The 17666-nt window shown below is 45.6% G+C and overlaps 2 annotated features.

Annotated features, from left to right (window-relative positions):
* Positions 7770–8412: an enhancer, noted in NCBI's record as "OCT4-NANOG-H3K27ac hESC enhancer chr10:35883203-35883845 (GRCh37/hg19 assembly coordinates)". NCBI's record gives its function as "activates a minimal SCP1, AML or CMV promoter by ChIP-STARR-seq in primed H9 embryonic stem cells {active_cell/tissue: H9 hESC(primed)}" and the evidence as "EXISTENCE:reporter gene assay evidence [ECO:0000049][PMID:30033119]".
* Positions 14493–14743: a silencer, noted in NCBI's record as "fragment chr10:35889926-35890176 (GRCh37/hg19 assembly coordinates)". NCBI's record gives its function as "represses an EF-1alpha promoter that drives an FKBP-Casp9 reporter gene in an ReSE screen in K562 erythroleukemia cells {active_cell/tissue: K562}" and the evidence as "EXISTENCE:reporter gene assay evidence [ECO:0000049][PMID:32094911]".

Consider the following 17666-nt stretch of genomic DNA (forward strand, 5'->3'; position numbering starts at 1 on the left):
TACACCCCTATGTAAAATGCCTGTACCCCAAGAGATCAGAATTAGGGTAGGGTGTTCGCTGCACCACCAGTTCTGCTTCTGATCTGAGTGTCCAGGGTCAGGTTTCTTGTGACCACAATAAGTATTGCTTGAATTTCACACAATTTCCTCCCTCAGAGGTCCCTGTGCCTTCAGAGGACTATACAAAAAACACCCTCTGGAAGTGTGAGGCTCCTGCATGTACCTACGTGTGTGTGTGTGTGTGTGTGTGTGTGTGTGTGTGTGGTCAGCTCTGGGTTAAATGGAAAGACCACGGTCCTGGAAGAGGCAGCTCTGAGTCCAGATTCTTCTGTGATCTTGGGCAAATTCCCTCACTTTCTGCTAGGGCTACAAGAACAGAATACCTCAGAGACTGGGCGTCTTCTGCAGCAGAAACACCCTCTCACTGTCCTGGAGGCCAGAAAGCCGAGACAAAGGTGTGGGCACCGTTGGTCTCTCCCGAGGACTCTCTCCTTGGTTCGCAGATGGCGGCTTCCCCCGGTGCCTGTAGCATCTTCCCTGTGCACGCACCTCCCTGGTGTCTCTCTCTGGTCGTAATCTCTTCTTCTTAGGACACCAGTCAGATTGTATTAGGGCTCACCCTAATGGGCTCATTTTAGCTTCATTACCTCTTAAAAGACCCTGTCTCCAAATATAGGCACGTTCTGAGGTTCTGTGGGTTAGGACGTTAGCAGATGAATGTTGGGGGGACTTGTTCAGCCTACAGCACTTTTCTCAGCTTCATTTTTGCTCTTGATGTCTGAAGGAGTCAAGCCAGTGATTTCCGAAGTCCTCTCTGAATCAACCAGTTCTGTCTGGGAGTTCTGTCTGTCTCTCTCTCTCTCTCTCTCTCTCTCTCTCTCTCTCTCTCTCTCTCTCTCTCTCTCTCTGTCCTCTCTCCTGAGACTACAAATACTTAGGTGGCCGTGGCCATGTGGTTTTCTTTTTCTTTTCTTTTCTTTTTTTTTTTTTTGAGATGGAGTCTCACTCTGTTGCCCAGGCTGGAGTGCAGTGGCACGATGTAGGCTCACTGCAACCTCTACCTCCCAGGTTCAAGCAATTCTCCTGCCTTAGCCTCCCGAGTAGCTGCGATTACAGGTGCCCACCACCACACCCAGCTAATTTTTTGTATTTTTAGTAGAGATGGGGTTTCACCATGTTGGCCAAGGCTGGTCTTGAACTCCTGACCTCAGGTGATCCACCTGCCTTGGCCTCCCAAAGGGCTGGGATTATAGGCTTGAGCCACTGCACCCAGCCAGCCATGTGGTTTTCTTTCTGCATGTACCTCTCCATCTGAAGAGAACACCCCTCCCTCTCCATCTCTGTCAGTTGCTGGTGTTGTCATAGCTAAGGTCATCTGAGCTGTCTCCCTCTCTAGGTTGCACTTTAGAGTGGCAGTCAGGGAACAGAAAGAAGGCAAGGCTCACATGAAGGAAGATGGGGCCCAGTACAATGTGGCCCGGCGTGCAGGGCTCCTTGAGGTCCCAGGACCATTCCTAGTTAGGGCTCCACCCAACAGCAGGCCCAGGCCCACCCTGGCTCTGGGCACATCCTCATTGTGAGTGTGTGGATCAGGACACACACCCCACCCCTCAGGTCTCGACTGGCTCCTGTATCTGCTACCAGCCCCAGAATCAGCGAGTGTTACCACATTTTTTTTTCCTAAGAGACAAGTTCTCCCTCTGTTGCCCAGATTGGAGTACAGTGGCATGGTCATAGCTCACTGCAGCCTTGAACCCCTGAGCTCAAGCAATCCTCCTGCCTCAGCCTCCTGAGTAGCTGGGACTACAGGCATGTACTACCACGCCTGGCTAACTTGTTTTTCTATTTTTTGTAGAGATGGAGGTCTTGCTATGTTGCCCAGGCTGGTCTTGAACTCTGGGCTCAAGCAATCCTCCTGCTTCAGCCTCCCAAGTTGCTGTTAACTCCTTCTGAGCTGCCCCCCCTTACACTAAGGAAAATGGTGGATGGAGCTGTAAGTGCAGGAACAGAAAATGACCTCCTGTGGGGGCTGAAAGGAATTCTTGCCCGAAACCATCCTTTTCTCCTCTCAGCTCCAAAGAGAAGAAGCATATCTGTGTAGTTACTGTCAGAAGCTCATGCATATCCTGTCCTTGCTCCCTTAAATAATGGCTCCCAATGGCCATATTGAAAGTGCTGTACTCTGAGAGAACTTTGGATATCTTCAGCTCCTGGTTTGCCTCAGTATCCAATTTAACAGAAAAGAGAGAGAAACAGAAAGCAACTGCTTTTAGAGTTTGGTTGTTCCTGAGAAATGGTAGAAATGCCCTGCAATTTCCATCCTGTTTCAGTTCATTGCTAAGGCTTTCATTGAATAAGAGCTTAAAAAACAACAACAACAAACTGAGCCAAAACCAAAATGACATAAACAAAGGCACAGTTAATTTCAACCCATCTGTCTTTTGTCAGAAAAAGACCTTCTGTTTTTGATCACTCTGGCAACAGCATGGGTTTTGTTTTTTAACAGCTAAGTAAGAAGTTAGAAATAGAAGGAAGAACTCCACACCTGTTGCTTTTAGGGTCAATTATTTATTGATGTCATAAACTGCACAGAGGAAGGCATTTTGCTGCAGAAGCTAATGGAGCTACAGTGCAGTAGCTGTATCAATCAGCTCAGCTCAAGTATTTTATTTTTGTTGTTGTTGCTGTTTTTTGTTTTTGTTTTTGTTTGTTTGTTGTTTAAGACAGAGTCTTGCTCTGTCACCCAGGCTGGAATGCAATGGCATGATCATGGCTCACTGTAGCCTCGACCTCCTGGGCTCAAGTGATCCTCCCACCTCAGCCTCCTGAGTAGCTGAGATGACAAGCATGCACCACCACACTGGCTAATTTCTTTTTATTTGTATTTTTTGTAGAGGTGGAGCTTTGCCATGTTGCACAGGCTGCTGTCAAACTCCTGGGCTCAAGTGATCCTCCAGTCTCAGCCTCCCTAAGTGTTGGGATTGCAGGTGTGAGCCACTGCACCCGGCCCAGCTTTAGAAACAGGCTCAACTCTTTGGACTCTCCAGCACTCTATACCTACTTTCATTCCAGTGCCAAAATTCACTGCTTCCTTTGAGAACTTTATATTTGTTTCAGTTGTTAAGTTAAAATATTTTCACAATCATAGGAGGCCATCAAGTTTTGATTTGCAATCTGAAGGGAAGAGAGGGGATTCTTCATAAAGAAATGGACAGTATGTTACCCTCATTACAGAAGACATGGTGAGGGGTTTTATTCTCTGTGCCTCATGACGTCTCTCACAGAGACAGGGGTGTAATGCCTGCATTGTGAGAGGAATTTCAGGCATGGGGGAGAATTAGGTGTTGAATTACCAAGATGTTTCCTCACCTGTAAAGGCTGAGAGCCCCAAGTTTATAGTTTATTTATTGAAAAATAGAAGGCAGGCTGGCTGTGATGGCTCACGCCTGTAATCCCAGCACTTTGGGAGGCTGAGGCAGGAGGATTTCTTGAGCCCAGGAGTTTGAGACCAGCCTGGGCAACATAGCAAGACCCCATTTCGACACAAATTTTAAAAATTAGCCAGGCATGGTGGCACGTGCCTATGGTCCCAGCTACTCAGGAGGCTGAGGCAAGTGGATTGCTTGAGCCCAAGAGATTGGGTCTGCGGTGAGCCATGATTGCACCATGGCACTCCAGCCTGGGTGACAGAGCAAGATCCTGTCAAAATAATAATAATAATAATAATAATAATAATAATAATTGAAAATGGGAGGTAATAAACAGTATGGCATGCAAGATTAAAAAAAAATAGAACAAAACAACCTTTGTCACTGAGAAAAGCAATAGTTTACTCTTGCTAGTATAAGGATTTCTTATCATAAGCATGCTTTTCCTTGCAAATGGGAGAAAACTCAATGAATGAAAACAGAAATATTTTGGTTTCTATTTCTAATCCATGTCTCAATGCCCACAGCATTTCTGGAGAGCCACAGGGCTGGAAGCAGAGTCTTATTCTTTTGTAAAACTTAAGTCATGGAGAGTTAAAATTCTAGTTCATTTTCCATGTCTGTTCTTTGTCCTAGTTCATTCAGGCTGCTATTTAATAAATACCATGAACTGGGTGACTTATAAGCAACAGAAATTTACTTCTCACAGTTCTGGGGGCTGGGAAGTCCAAAGTCAAAGCATCAGCAGATTCAGTGTCTGGTGAGGGTGTTTCGTGGTTCCTAGACCCAGCAACTTCTTGCTGTGTCCTCACATGGCAGAAGAGGCAGGGCAGCTCTCCAGAGCTTCTTTGATAAGGGCACCAATCCCATTCATAAGTGCCCCACCCTCATGACCTGATCACCTCCCAAAGGCCCCACCTCCTCATATCACATCACCTTGGGGGTTAGGATTTCAACATATGGATTTGGGGAGCACATAAACATTCAGATCATGGCATTATTGTTTTTGTGATTTTTTTTTCTTCTTCCTTCTCTTCTCCTTGGTTTTCCAGCTCTTCCTTTCTCTTACTTTTCATTTTTGTTTCTTTCCTAAGTGTACACAATCTGCCCCATACATGATCATGTCCAGGTTGACTTTATCATTTTCATGGCCTGGTTAGAATATTTTATTTCAGGTTGCTTGCAGAGAGGCAAGCACACATCTTCATATAGCAAAGACAGATTACAGATTCATGGGAGGAAGTATCTTACTATATCTCTGCATCCCCAGGGTAAAGGTAAACTGGGATCGAGGTTGATGCAGATGATCAGGCAGAGGTTTCTGCTCATGGCCAAGATAGAATAAATAGTACTGGACTAGACGTCCCACTGCAAATAACTTAAAAAACTAGACAAAATATGGGAAGCAATAATGTTCGGCTATTGAAAACAGGCAGCAAAGGATCATGCTCTCTGACACAATGGAAAGAAATGAAGTAAGTCCTATGATAGTTTGAGCTTTTACCTGGAGGCACTTTTTGAATGGCATCCAGGAAGTATCCAGGTAGGGCAGAGGGGTCTCACTGAGTTGAGAAGCCACAGATCAGAGATTAGGGAGGTTGGCACAGCTGAGGTGTGTAGGGCGAGACACAGAGAGGAGGAAGCTATGCAGAACTCCAGAAATCTACGTCGAAGTCCTCTTGAGTCTTGGGCTGAATATTAAACTGTGCATGCAAAGCATGGAACTTTCTAAGTCAGGAAATGAACAGCTTTGAGTGGAAGCTTTAAGCTGAACAATTCTAAGTCTCACACAGGGCAAGGAGATATTTAAGTTCTGACTAGCTACAGTTGGGAGATCTTCTTAAACACCTGAGAAATTCAGTCAAGACTCAGGAAATATAAAACCCTGATAGTAGGGCTAAATTAGACCCGTTTTAACAAAGCTTAAAATTAGCCTGGGAAAGACCAAAGTAATACACAAACAACTTAACTGCCTGCCAAACCAAAATTTAACACTGTTTAAAGGAAGATAAAATCAAGACATTCAACAACATAACACATATAATGTTCAGCATGCAATAAAAACAACTAGACAGATTAAGAAACAAGAAAATGTGACCCATAATAAGGAAAGAAATCAGTCAGTATAAATAGATTCAGAAATAATAGATCTAGATGATGGAATTTACAGATGAGGAACTTTAGACCAGTTATTCTAAATATGGTAAAGGATTTAAAAGAAAACAAATATAATGAGTGGAATCATTACATTGATTCAGAAAAATATACTTCAGGATAAGAAATATTACTAGAGATGAAGAGGGACATTTCATAATGATAAAAAGGTCAATTCATCAAGAAGCCATGCAAATCTTAATACGTACGCACCTGATAACAAAACTTCAAAATACATAAAACCGGCCAATCAGGAAATAACATCTATATCTACTGTTTTAAATTAAAAAGAAAAATTCCACACAGATATTTGCAAGGTGATTTTTATCAACATAAATTTATTAAGTACACTATCCTTGGGCATTAACCTAGGTGACAGGAAAACACTTTAACAGATTCGACATTGGTCTTAAGAAGCTCAAATAGGGTTGAAATACAGAACACACGCACAGAGATTAAAAGATTAAAAGACATGTGTCATGTTGTATTTTCCTTAAATGTTTGCCTCTCCATTTTTGAATCCAATAAATCATTAAGCTCTTGTTGGCTGTTTTCCATCTTGAAGTATTAGTGCTTAGCCTTACAAAGTTTGAGGTAGCTGCTTAGTCATCCCTGCTATGTTCAAGTGTCTACATAAGCCCCTCCTAGGGTCCACCGGAACCCACAGAATTGGAAATCTAGTGGAGATTCATTGTTAACATTACAGAAGACATGGGACTAGCGATCTCCTTTGGGGTTCCAGTTAGGCTTATACTGCAGCTGCCACCCCACTTTCTACCATTCTTCAGGCAAGTAGTGAGCTATGAGTGCGCTCACATTATGAAGAATACGTCTTGAAAAAGGAAAAGGATTAGTGTTCAGGGTGATTCGCACTCGTTATAGTTAAGCCAGCAAGGCCTCACTTAGGATGAGAGAGGAGCCACCCCTTGGGAAAATCATTTATATATATGCTTTATATACACACATTTAATCTTTTAAAATTCAGTCCCATTTCCCAAGGAAATTGCCTGGAGGTAGTGTTGGGATTAGAATGGATTACCCTAACAGAGTCTTTTCATAAACCCAAACTGAGCTAACAAGAAGGGCTCTGTGTTGCCTTTTAATCATCCGTTGAGTTTTCTTATGCCAGCTCTTTCCAAGAAAGATTGAAGTTGCTTGCCAGCATGCCTGCTGTAGATCTTAGCTTGTTCCAGAAAGGAGAAGCAACTTCTCAAAGATTGTCTCTTATAGTCTTGCCTGACAATGAGAGCTTCTCCATGACGCTCTCCCTGGGTCTCCCAGTGGCTTCTTTGTGTCAAGTGGGAAGAATATGGACTTCGGAGTCAAATCAATTGGGATAGAATCCCAGCCTTGTCATCTACAGCCTGCGTGGTGTTAGGCAGTTGTGAAATCTCACAGAGACTTATTTTCTTCTCTCTAACTTACCTCACCCACAGGCGTGTGTGTGTAATGCAAATACCATTCTTCATCGTGTGAGTGCACTCATAGCTCACCACTTGCTTGGAGAATGGGTAGAAAAACGGGGTGGCCACTGTGGGACAAGCCTAACTGGAACCCCAAAGGAGGTCTTCTGTAACGTTAACATGAGTTTCCACTAGATTTCCAATTCCGTGGGTTCCGGCAGACCCTAGCGTGGGGGGCATGTAGACACTTGGACTAGCAGGGATGACTATGCAGCTCCCTCAACCTTTGTAAGGCTAAGCGCTAATACTTCAAGAAGGAAAACAGCCCTAGTTGTCTCCTTCTTGCTCTCTTCATACTCTATTATAGACCTTACTATTCACTATTGTTATGCGGCCATGTCTTCTGCCTCTGGGGACATGGGAAGCTGGTCACTGTTCTTGCTGTTGGAAGTACACTCAACTGCCTCCCTCTCCTACAGGGGAAAGCCTGCGTCTTACCTGTTCGCAGTCCCGACACATTGTCCGGCACACTGCAGATGCTCAGTGTGTTATTGTTGAAGGCCACTCTCATTCCTTTTCAGAAACACTCAATAATAAACTCTCATTCCTTCCTTTAGGGAAGTGAAAAACAGAACAACAGAAAAGCAAAAGCAAAAGGCTCCTTCCATTTTCTCCTGTAGCTGCCTCACAGAATGGGTCCTCTTTAGGCTGAGGCCGTCACACTTCTGTGGCATATGGGGTGGGGAGCGTCCATGTCAGGCCCAGTTTTTCCCCTCACCGGCTGGGTGGCCTTGACCATCGAACACAGAAGTGAAGTGCATGTGCACCCACCAGGGTTGGTGGCTCACGGGGGACCCAGATCACACTCATGGGTATAAAAGTGATCCTTACGACAGTGGTGCCACCAGATCCAACTCTGTCCCTTCACCCAGTCGATTTGAAGCTGTTGTCCGTTTTTCTCATACTTAATTTTCCTACTTTGTTGTTTGTCTTTGCTTTCATCTGGAAATAGAGCTTGGTAATTGCATTGCTGGTTTCCGTGGAGATCCAGGCCATAGCCACTGCATTGCAGCAAACAAAATGGAATGTACCCTACCTTCCTTTCATTTGTGTTCCTTAAGAGAAAATTTGAATTAAAAAGACCTCCCGAGATCACCTGTCTTTCAAATTGCTGGTGCAGCTGGGCGCAGTGGCTCACACCTGTAATCCCAGCACTCTGGGAGGCCAAACGAGGATTGCTTGAGGCCAGGAGTTCATGACCAGCCTGGGTAACATAGTGAGACCCCTATTCTACAAAAATAAATAAGTAAATTAGCAAGGCATGGTGATGTGTGTGCCTGTGGTCCCAGCTACTCAGGCTAAGGCAGGCAGATTGCTTCAGCTCAGGAGCTTGAGGCTGCAGTGAGCTGTGATTGGGCTACTGCACTCCAGCCTGAGTGATGATAGGCGGCAGAGGAAGACCCTGTCTCTAAAAAACCAAACCAAACCAAACAAAACAAATTGTCCCACAGGGTGGGACATTAGCTCAGAGATAAATTAGCTGTCGCCTGTGCTTCAAGACACTACTGTCTGGCCCTTCTGAATATATCCGCATTTGGAACAAACCTCGTCCTGAATCAAAGTGGCTGTGAATGTTTGGAGGGTTGGCATCTAACAGTTGTGAGTTTTAAAATGGATTGAATTCCTTCATTCCCTCTTCTAATATTTCACGGCAGAGAACAAAGAGAACACACAGAGGGAAAACGTGGACTAGTTCCTCTCTCTTAACAAGACTAATCATCTGATGCTGAAGTCACCATGATCACAGCTGCCTGTATCTCTGTTCCCTCCCCTCCCTTCCTCTCTTCTCTTCCTTCCTCTCCTCTTTTCTCCCTCCCTCCCTGCTTCCTTCCTTCTTTCCTTCCTTCCTTCCCTCCCTCCCTTCCCCCAACCCTTCCTTCCTTCCCTCCCTCCCGCCCTTCCTTCCTTCCCTTCCTTCCTTCCTTCCCTTCCTTCCTTCCTTCCTTCCTTCCTTCCTTCCTTCCTTCCCTCCTTCCTTCCTTCCTCCCTCCCTCCCTTCCTTCCTCTCTCTCTCTTTCTTTCCCTTTCCTTCCTTCTTTCAGTTATTGTCTAAAACGTAAAAATGAACAGGAGGTCGATATGAGGACTCACTAATCCTGAATTTGGCCTTGCTCTGTGTGATGCTGGAGCTCTGCAGCATGGGAAAATATCCGTGACATCCCATTGGCCCCCTTCTCCACCCCAGGCCCTTACCTTCACAGAAAGGCCTGCTTCCAGGAGCAGTGTTTCTAACTCACACCATAGTAAAGATGACTGATAAGACGTAGTGAGTTGCCTCTCCCAGAGATTTTAATTTTTATCACCCTTAAAAGCCAGAAGACCTCAAGTATTTAATATTTGATGTTAGACAAGAGGCATAGGTGTGTTGAGGCAGGAGGCCCTACCCAGGGTCCGTAAGCTGCCTGCCTGTTATCCAGAAGGGAAGGAAAACAATCATTTACTTTTTTTTTTTTTTTTTGAGAAAGAGTCTCACTCTGTCACCCAGGCTGGAGCGCAGTGGCATGATCTTGGCTCACTGCAACCTCCGCCTCCCAGGTTCAGACGATTTTCCTGCCTCAGCCTCCCAAGTAGCTGGGATTACAGGTGGGCACCACCGTGCCCAGCTAATTTTCATATTTTTCATAGAGATGGGGTTTCACCATGTTGGCCAGGCTGGTCTCGAACTCCTGACCTCAGGTGATCTGCCTGCCTCGGCCTCCCAAAGTGCTGGGATTACAGGTGTGAGCCATCGGGCCTGGCCTCCTCCATCTACTTTTACTACTTAGAAAAAAAGAATGTAAGAAGAAAGCTTTCTTAATAAGTCCTCATGTGCTGTCACATAGTGGGGTGACATAGTTAACAATAATGTGTTCTATATTTCAAAATAGCTAGAGGAGAGGATTTTGAATGTTCCCATCACAAAGAAATGGTAAGTATTTGAGATGCTGGATATGCTAATTATCCCAATTTGATCATTACACAGTCTATACGTGTATTGGAACATCACACTGTACTCATAACTATGTACAATTATCATGTGTCAATTTAAAAAGACTAACTTCTTCAATGGTATATACAACAAAGAGAATAAAACACGATAACTTAAAATTTTGAAAAAGCAAAGCCTGCACTGCTTCCAAGCAGAGAGGACCTCCCTGCAAACATACAGTGCTGCCATTTGTGAAATGCTGGTTGCAAAGCACAGAAGAACTCCGGCTGGCAGTGCATTGCCTGTGGGTGTTAGCGCTCGTGGGACAAGCACCCTCCATTCAGGGGTGCTGCCACTGATTGCTGGGGAGCTGTGCTCTTGGAAGGCCTCAGCGGGTCATGGAATCTGTTCCATCAGAGAAATAGTGCAACACACTTTTGCAGATAATTAAGATTTGGACAAATGTCTGGCCATCGGGAGCCCTAGGCTTTGGAAAGGGCTGTGGACACAGAGAGGTCAGGACCGAATGGTTGACAGTGAACATCCCATGCCAGGGAACGTTGAATCAGGAAGGGTTCGAGACATGAGAAATAGCCTCTGGTGTGTTGTGACTGCTTCATTCACTGAGCAAAGAGAAAGAACCACTCCAGTTGGTTGGCCATGCCAAAAAAGGCCAGCCCTGTACACACACAAAAAATGGACCATGTGAAAGAAGTATGAACGACAAGAAGAAGGCCAGGCGTGGTGGCTCACACCTGTAATCCCAGCACTTTGGGAGGCCGAGGCGGGCAGATCATGAGGTCAAGAGATTGAGACCATCCTGGCCAACATGGTGAAACCTCATCTCTACTAAAAATAAAAAAATTAGCTGGGCGTGGTGGCGTGTGCCTGTAGTCCCAGCTACTCGGGAGGCTGAGGCAGGAGAATTGCTTGAACCTGGGACGCGGAGGTTGCAGTGAGCCGAGATCATGCCACTGCACTCCAGCCTGGTGACAGAGTGAGACTCCGTCTCAGAAAAAAAAAAAAAAAAAGAAACATACGAAGCAAACCGAATTCTTCCTACTATTTATCGGATGTTTCTGCTGTGCTGGGCAGTTTACACTTGTTAGTTCGTTTCATTCTCTTACAACCCTGAGAAGTAGGAGCTTTGATTATCCCTGTTTCACAACTGAGTGAAAAAGATTCAGGATCCGTGGGGGACTGAGACTGGCCGGACCTCTTCCCAGCGTATTCTCTCTACTGTTGATGAAGTGGAGCTGACTTCCAGCTGAGGGGCAGTGAGTGCAAAGGCACATCTTGGCCAGGGAGGACTAGAGCCTCACATGGTCTTGGGCTGGGGGTGGCAGGGCAGAGAGGCTGGGCAGGGCAGGCATTGCTCTGACAATGCATGTGCTTCTTGTCATAATGAGCACCGCAAGAGGAGGACACCCAACCCAGTCTTGGGCAAAGGAGATAGAAATCCCTGGGAGCCAGTCACAGAGAGGAAACGGCTGTGGCAAGTCTCAGAGGCAGCAGAGATCAGAGGCCGTGCAAGGTCAGTGCCATTGCAGGGTCGGGGGGAGTAAAGGGTGAGGCCCGAGAGGCAAGCGGAGTCCAGGGCTCGCAGGGCCAGGCAAGCTCTGTTTGGCACCATCAGTGAGGAGCCACTGAAGAGCTTTAAGCAGTGAAATTTTAAAACATACCTCACGGACACTGAGTACTAGTTTTCTGCTTGGGTGAGATGGATCTTGGTGCCACTCACCTAGAGAGAGAACCTGTGGCCGGGCGAGGTGGCTCACACCTGGAATCTCAGTGCTTTGGGAGACTGAAGCAGGAGGATCATTTGAGGCCACGAGTTCAAGACCAGCCTGGGCAACGTCATGATTAATGGCAAAAACCATAATTACTTCTGTGTCAACCTAATATTTGCTGAAGGTCAAACACTGGTCAGCAATTGGAACCAGAACTGAACCCACGTCCTCTACCCTTGAACTTTGTGCTGTTTTCTCCTAATTACTTCTTTGACTACCAGTGACTGCTTGATGAGTACTTTTTTCATTGATTTGACTCTAAAAATGAATATTCCCATCCGTGAAAGGAACAGTGTGTTTGTGGCCAGTGCAGAGACCCCTGCTGGACACCTGTGTGTTGGAGAGAAAACGACGCCTGGGAATGCTTCCACCAGGTCCCTGCTGGGTAGTGTCACTTTAGCCTGCGAGGGACAGGTGACACGAGTTACAGACAGGCTGCAGGAGGTAACTTGGTCCATGTGCATACACTATACAGAATTTTAGGGCATTTTAGTAATTTTCAAAATGTGCCATGCAGCCACTGGTCCAAGTGAATTAGAAAAGAGAGCAGGAATTCATCAGGGAGGGCTCGTGGTCATAACGTCCACGTGGCTGCCCCTTCACCGGCTTCTGTCTTTACTCAAATGTATTCTTCTTAGGACACTGGCTACCCCATTAAACCTTGGCATCCACTACCCTCCTTAGAACTTATTACTAACAGTCAATTTTGCTGAAGACATTTATCTTGTTCTTTGTCAATTCTTCCCACTAGGATGTAAGTTCAGTGAGGGCAGGAATTTTTATACTTCATTCTCTGCCATTTCCCTAGTGCCAAGAACAGTGCTGAAGACACAGCAGGTGCTCAGGGAACATTTATGGTACTAACTGTGTTCATGATACTATTGGTAATGTTTTGAAAGGCATCAGTAAGTCAAAGGGCATTGTTAGAAACAATGACAAAGAAGAGGATGATTCCTTCCTGCCTGGATGGTGAGAACATGTGTTGGATTTGATTGCAGCTGATATCACATGAAGGGTGTCCTGACATATTGCTCAGGACCTGTGAGCAATGGTGGAGTCCTTTGCTTTCTTCACAAAAGAAAACTCAATTCCCCTGATTTTTCTGCTCAATTTCTTTTCCTTTTCTTTTCTTTTCTTTTTTTTTTTTTTGAGACGGGGTCTTGCTCTGTGGCCCAGGCTGGACTGCAGTGGCCTGGTGTGATCTCAGCTCACTGCAACCTCCGCCTCCCAGGCTCAAGTGATCCTCCTACCTCAGCCTCCCAAGTAGCTGGGACTACAGGCACACACCACCACGCCTGGCTAATTTTACTATTTTTAGTAGAGATGAAATTTCTCCATGTTGGCCAGGCTGGTCTAGAACTCCTGGGCTCAAGAAATCCACCTGCCTTGGCTTCCAAAAGTGCTGGGATTGAAGGAGTGAGTCACTGCACCCGGCCTCTGCTGTTTCTGAAGGGTGCCTTAGAAAAAATTCCATAGAAAAGTTAAAATAATACAATTTCAAACACTTGAAGGGCTAACATTGGGCTATCCAGATAATTGTATTTCTTAACAGTCAGGACAGTTGAATTTTTTGTGTGTGTTTTTGATGTGTTACAGATCAAAAGTCAGGGATAGCAAATATCATTTAAGCTCTGTACTGAGGCTGGATGGTCTTGGCCACATCTTAATTTCACCTGAAAGTTGGGAAGGTGACTAAGTATATTTTAAGGTGACTTCCATTTCCAAAGATGCCTGGGTCCGCGAGTCTGTGGAAAGTGGAATTTTGGGGGTCTATGCATTCCACACTGGGGCCCGTCTTTGCTGCCTTGGGGAATGTGATTTAAGCGCATTGATGCACATCTCACAAGTGAGATATCTATTAACCTGCAGCCTCATCTGACCTGCTTGCATCTAATAGGCAGCTGTTTAGTTCAGCACTTTCCTCTGGGGTCTTCTTTGGCCAGCATGCCCTCCTGTGGCTTGGGGAGGAGGCATCATTTTGGTATGATTGAGAGAATGAATCTGTGTCCATTCAGTGTATCTTGGAAGATCTTAGGACTGTCGGAGGTGGGAACAGTGCTTGGAAGTTCTTTTCCTCCCTTGGGAGAGAAGCTATGCCTCTCTGCATAGAAGAACCAGCCCAACTGCCTCAAAAACAAACTCCAGGGGGCACTGTGAATGCTGTCTTGGTAGAGAAGACATTGGGGAGCTGTGCAGTTGAGTTGAACTGGAATTGAAAATGCAGTCCAAGAACGACTGTTTGGGGACTTTAAGAGCAGGAAAAGGCTCAGCTGAAGAAAACAGAAAATTTCTTCCTTGTATCAGTGGTTAATTTTTAGCTCTAAGTCTTGTGAGGGGGAGTCTGTGAGTGTGGCTGGGGTGGGATGGCACTGACCTGGTTCACCCTACAGTACCTGTGCCAGTGGGAAACTAGATTGACAGGAAAGTAGTATAATCTATTTTGGGGGTAGATTTGCATATGCAGATGAGATGCAACTGTAGGCATGATTAAACTGTTGTGTTGGTGCAGCTGCTAAATATTTGCTTTCTGTCTACAGTCCTGGAAAAGTCATTTACATCTTGATAACAATGAAAACATATATTTCTCAAATCAGATACATGATTCCTTAAACACACACACACACACACACACACACACACACACACCCCCCAAAACAAAACAGTTACTATCATTTCCTAGCCCTCCAGAAAGTGAACTCTATTTCCCTGGGAGCCCTTTTCCCACCAGCCCTGGAGCACCCATCATCGAGAAAAAGTCACTCCAAGCCTCCTGCATCTTTGCTGGTACATCATTCTTGGCAGGTAATAAAAAAGAAAAGCCAGTGATTGGGTATGCATTATTGGTGGGGCACCGTTCTCTAGGCTTTAGGCATTTTCCCATGTATTCCTTGCCATCATTCTAGGGGGTAGGGAACCGTGGTTCTACAGTGAAGACACTGAGTTAAGTGACTCCCCCACAATCACACAGTCAAGAAGCTGGAGTTTTAATCTAGGAGGTCACACTGCAGAGCCTCTGTCCTTAACCTTGATATCAAGCTGCCTCTCATAATAATTCTCACAGAGACCATCTCTTTTTCAACATTCCTTTTTAGATGCAGAACGCTTTATCCAAGGGGAGTCTTGGCCAAAGCATAAAAGACAACACAGACAGTAGTGGAGGTGTTCTAAGTGAAGCAGGAGTAAGAGGGTGGGGTCTGGAGCCTGGATCCTCCTCCAATTTTTGTGACTCTGAGTCCCTGGGGTTCCCAGGGACCCGTTTCTCTTCTGAATTGGCCCTTCCTGGGACTCAGCTGCTCTTCTCGCTAGTTGATCCTTCTATTAGGTGCAGTCGGTCCTCATATTCACAGATTTCTTATTTGCAAGTTCATCTACTTGCTAAAATTTATTCATAATCCCCAAACCAATACTCATAAGACTTTCTCCGCCATTCATGGACACATGCAGAGTGGTGGGAAATGTGCGTCGCCTGACACATGTGCTCTCAGCTGGGGTGGAAGCAGGGGCTGCCCTGCCTTTTTGTTTCTGCTCTCACAATGTCAATGGGTACTTTCTCCCAAGGTCTGGTTAGTGCCATGTCTTTTGCATTTTTGTGCATTTGGTTGGTGATTTTGCCATTTAAAGTGGCCCCCAATGGGTTTAGTGGCAAACACCTGTGGTCTCAGCACTTTGGGAGGCTGAGGCAGGAGGATTGCCTGAGGCCAGGAGTTCGAGACCAGACTGGGCAATGTAGCAACACCCCCATCTTTACAAAAAACTAAAAAATTAGCCAGGCTTGGTGATGCAACCCTGCAGTCCCAGCTACTCAGGAGGCTGAGGCTGGAGGATGGCTTGAGCCCAGAAGTTCCAGGCTGCAGTGAGCTAAGCTATGATCATGTCACTGCACTCCAGCTTGGGTGACAGAGCGAGCCCCTGTCTCTAAAAAAAAATTTTTTTTAATAATAAAATAAAATGGTCCCAAGCACAGCGCTGCACGAGTGCTGGCTGGTTCTTCTGAGTGCAGGAGGGCTGTGCCAGGGCTTGCAGAGAAAGTACATTCAGAATGTGTTAGATGGGTTTCATTCAGATGTGAGTGATAGTGCTGTGGGCCATGATTTAATGTGAATGGGTTAATATATGTTTAATATATATTAAATAAGATTTATTTGAACAGACACACACATAAAATAAGGCAATGTGTTAATTGATTGGTGAAAGTGTTGTCACCTAACTGTGTATTTCCCCAAGGAGCCCCTAGTATTCACTATTGCAGTGCTGGTGGTAACTTTATAAAACATAGCTACTATGAATAATGAGAATTGACTGAACTCATCATATTTTGAGAGCTTCTTACCGGGCAGATAATGTGCTAGAACCTTATTTAAATGAACACTAATTCTCAACCCTGTACGTTTAGTATCATTACCCCAGTTTATAGATGGTAAAACTGAGGCCTAGATAATTTGCCAAAGTCACTACACTAGAGAGAGGTGAGGCCAAGGCTGAGTGCCATGTAGTGCTATTGTTCTCTTTCCTTTTTGCTAACACTTTCTTCTTTTTTCTAGATACAGGGTCTTGCTTTGAGGCCCAAGGTAGAGTGCAGTGGCATGATCATGGCTCACTGCAGCCTTGACCTCCTGGGCTCAAGTGATCCTCCCACCTCAGCCTCCTGAGTAGCTGGGATCACAAGCATGCCAACACTTGGTTAATTTAAAAACATTTTTGTAGAGATGAGGCTCTCTATGTTGCCCAGGGTGATCACTTGAACTTCCGGCCTCAAGTGATCCTCCATCCTCGGCCTCTCAAAGTGCTGGGATTACAGATGTGAGCCACAGGGCCCATGCTGACCACTTGCGTTTAGTGAACTATCCCAGTTTGGCATCTTGTACACTTCAGCCCGACTCCCAGCTGGTTTCTTTGGCCATGGGTTGAACACAGCACTCCCCACATCTTCTCTCTAATCCACAGACACATACAGAAACCTTCCCATCGGTGCTGGGATGCTCTTACAGAGAGTCGGGAGTTGATGCCCAGATGCCTCCACCTTCTCTGCTTCCCTTACCTCCAGCTAGCTTCAGGTAGCCACTGGAGTTAGGATTTCTTTTCTTTTTTGAGATGTAGTCTCGCTCTGTCACCCAGGCTAGAGTACAGTGGTGTGTGATCTGGGCTCACTGCAACCTCCGCCTCCTGAGTTCAAGTGATTCTCCTGACTCAGCCTCCCAAGTAGCTGGGACTACAGGTGCCCACCACCATGCCCGGCTAATTATTGTATTTTTAGTAGAGATGGGGTTTCGCCATGTTGGCCAGGCTAGTCTTGAACTCCTGACCTCAGGTGATCCACCCACCTCAGCCTCCCAAAGTGCTGGGATTTACAGGCGTGAGCCACCGCGCCTGACCAGAGTTAGATTTCCAAGTAAAGCAAAATGTCACCTAGCAGGAGAGAGGAAAAAAAGAGAAAGAGAAAAAAGACAAGGAATGGGGATGGGGTAGACTTCAAGGAGGAAGAGCAAAGGTGACCAGGATGAGAAGGGAGATGGGTGGGCATGGGCTGCTCAGAAGATGCCCTGAAGGGTGGGACCAGAGGAGCCAACCCTGAGAAGCGCCTGTCACTGACACTGGGTCATTCTTTACATTTCAAAATCATTTTCACATCTCTGGTCACATTTGCATATCACAGTCACTGTGAGTGGGTGAAGAACACATTCTTTTTTTCTGCTTCACTGATGAGAAAACCGAAGCATGAAAAGCTGCAGTGATTTGCTCATGGTCGCGCAGGGCTAATTTATTCCACATTTGGGATGGGCTATTTCTATCACACAGCAAGAGTCAGTAATTGCTTTCCTGATATTTCATTTTTTTTTTAAAGCCAATACCATGAGCAGTCTATTAGGAGACAAATTCTCCTTTATTTTATACTTACACCCTGTGACTATTTCAATATTTTTAC

This window comes from Homo sapiens, chromosome 10 (genome assembly GCF_000001405.40).
Source record: "Homo sapiens chromosome 10, GRCh38.p14 Primary Assembly".
NCBI classification, from domain to species: Eukaryota; Metazoa; Chordata; class Mammalia; order Primates; family Hominidae; genus Homo; species Homo sapiens.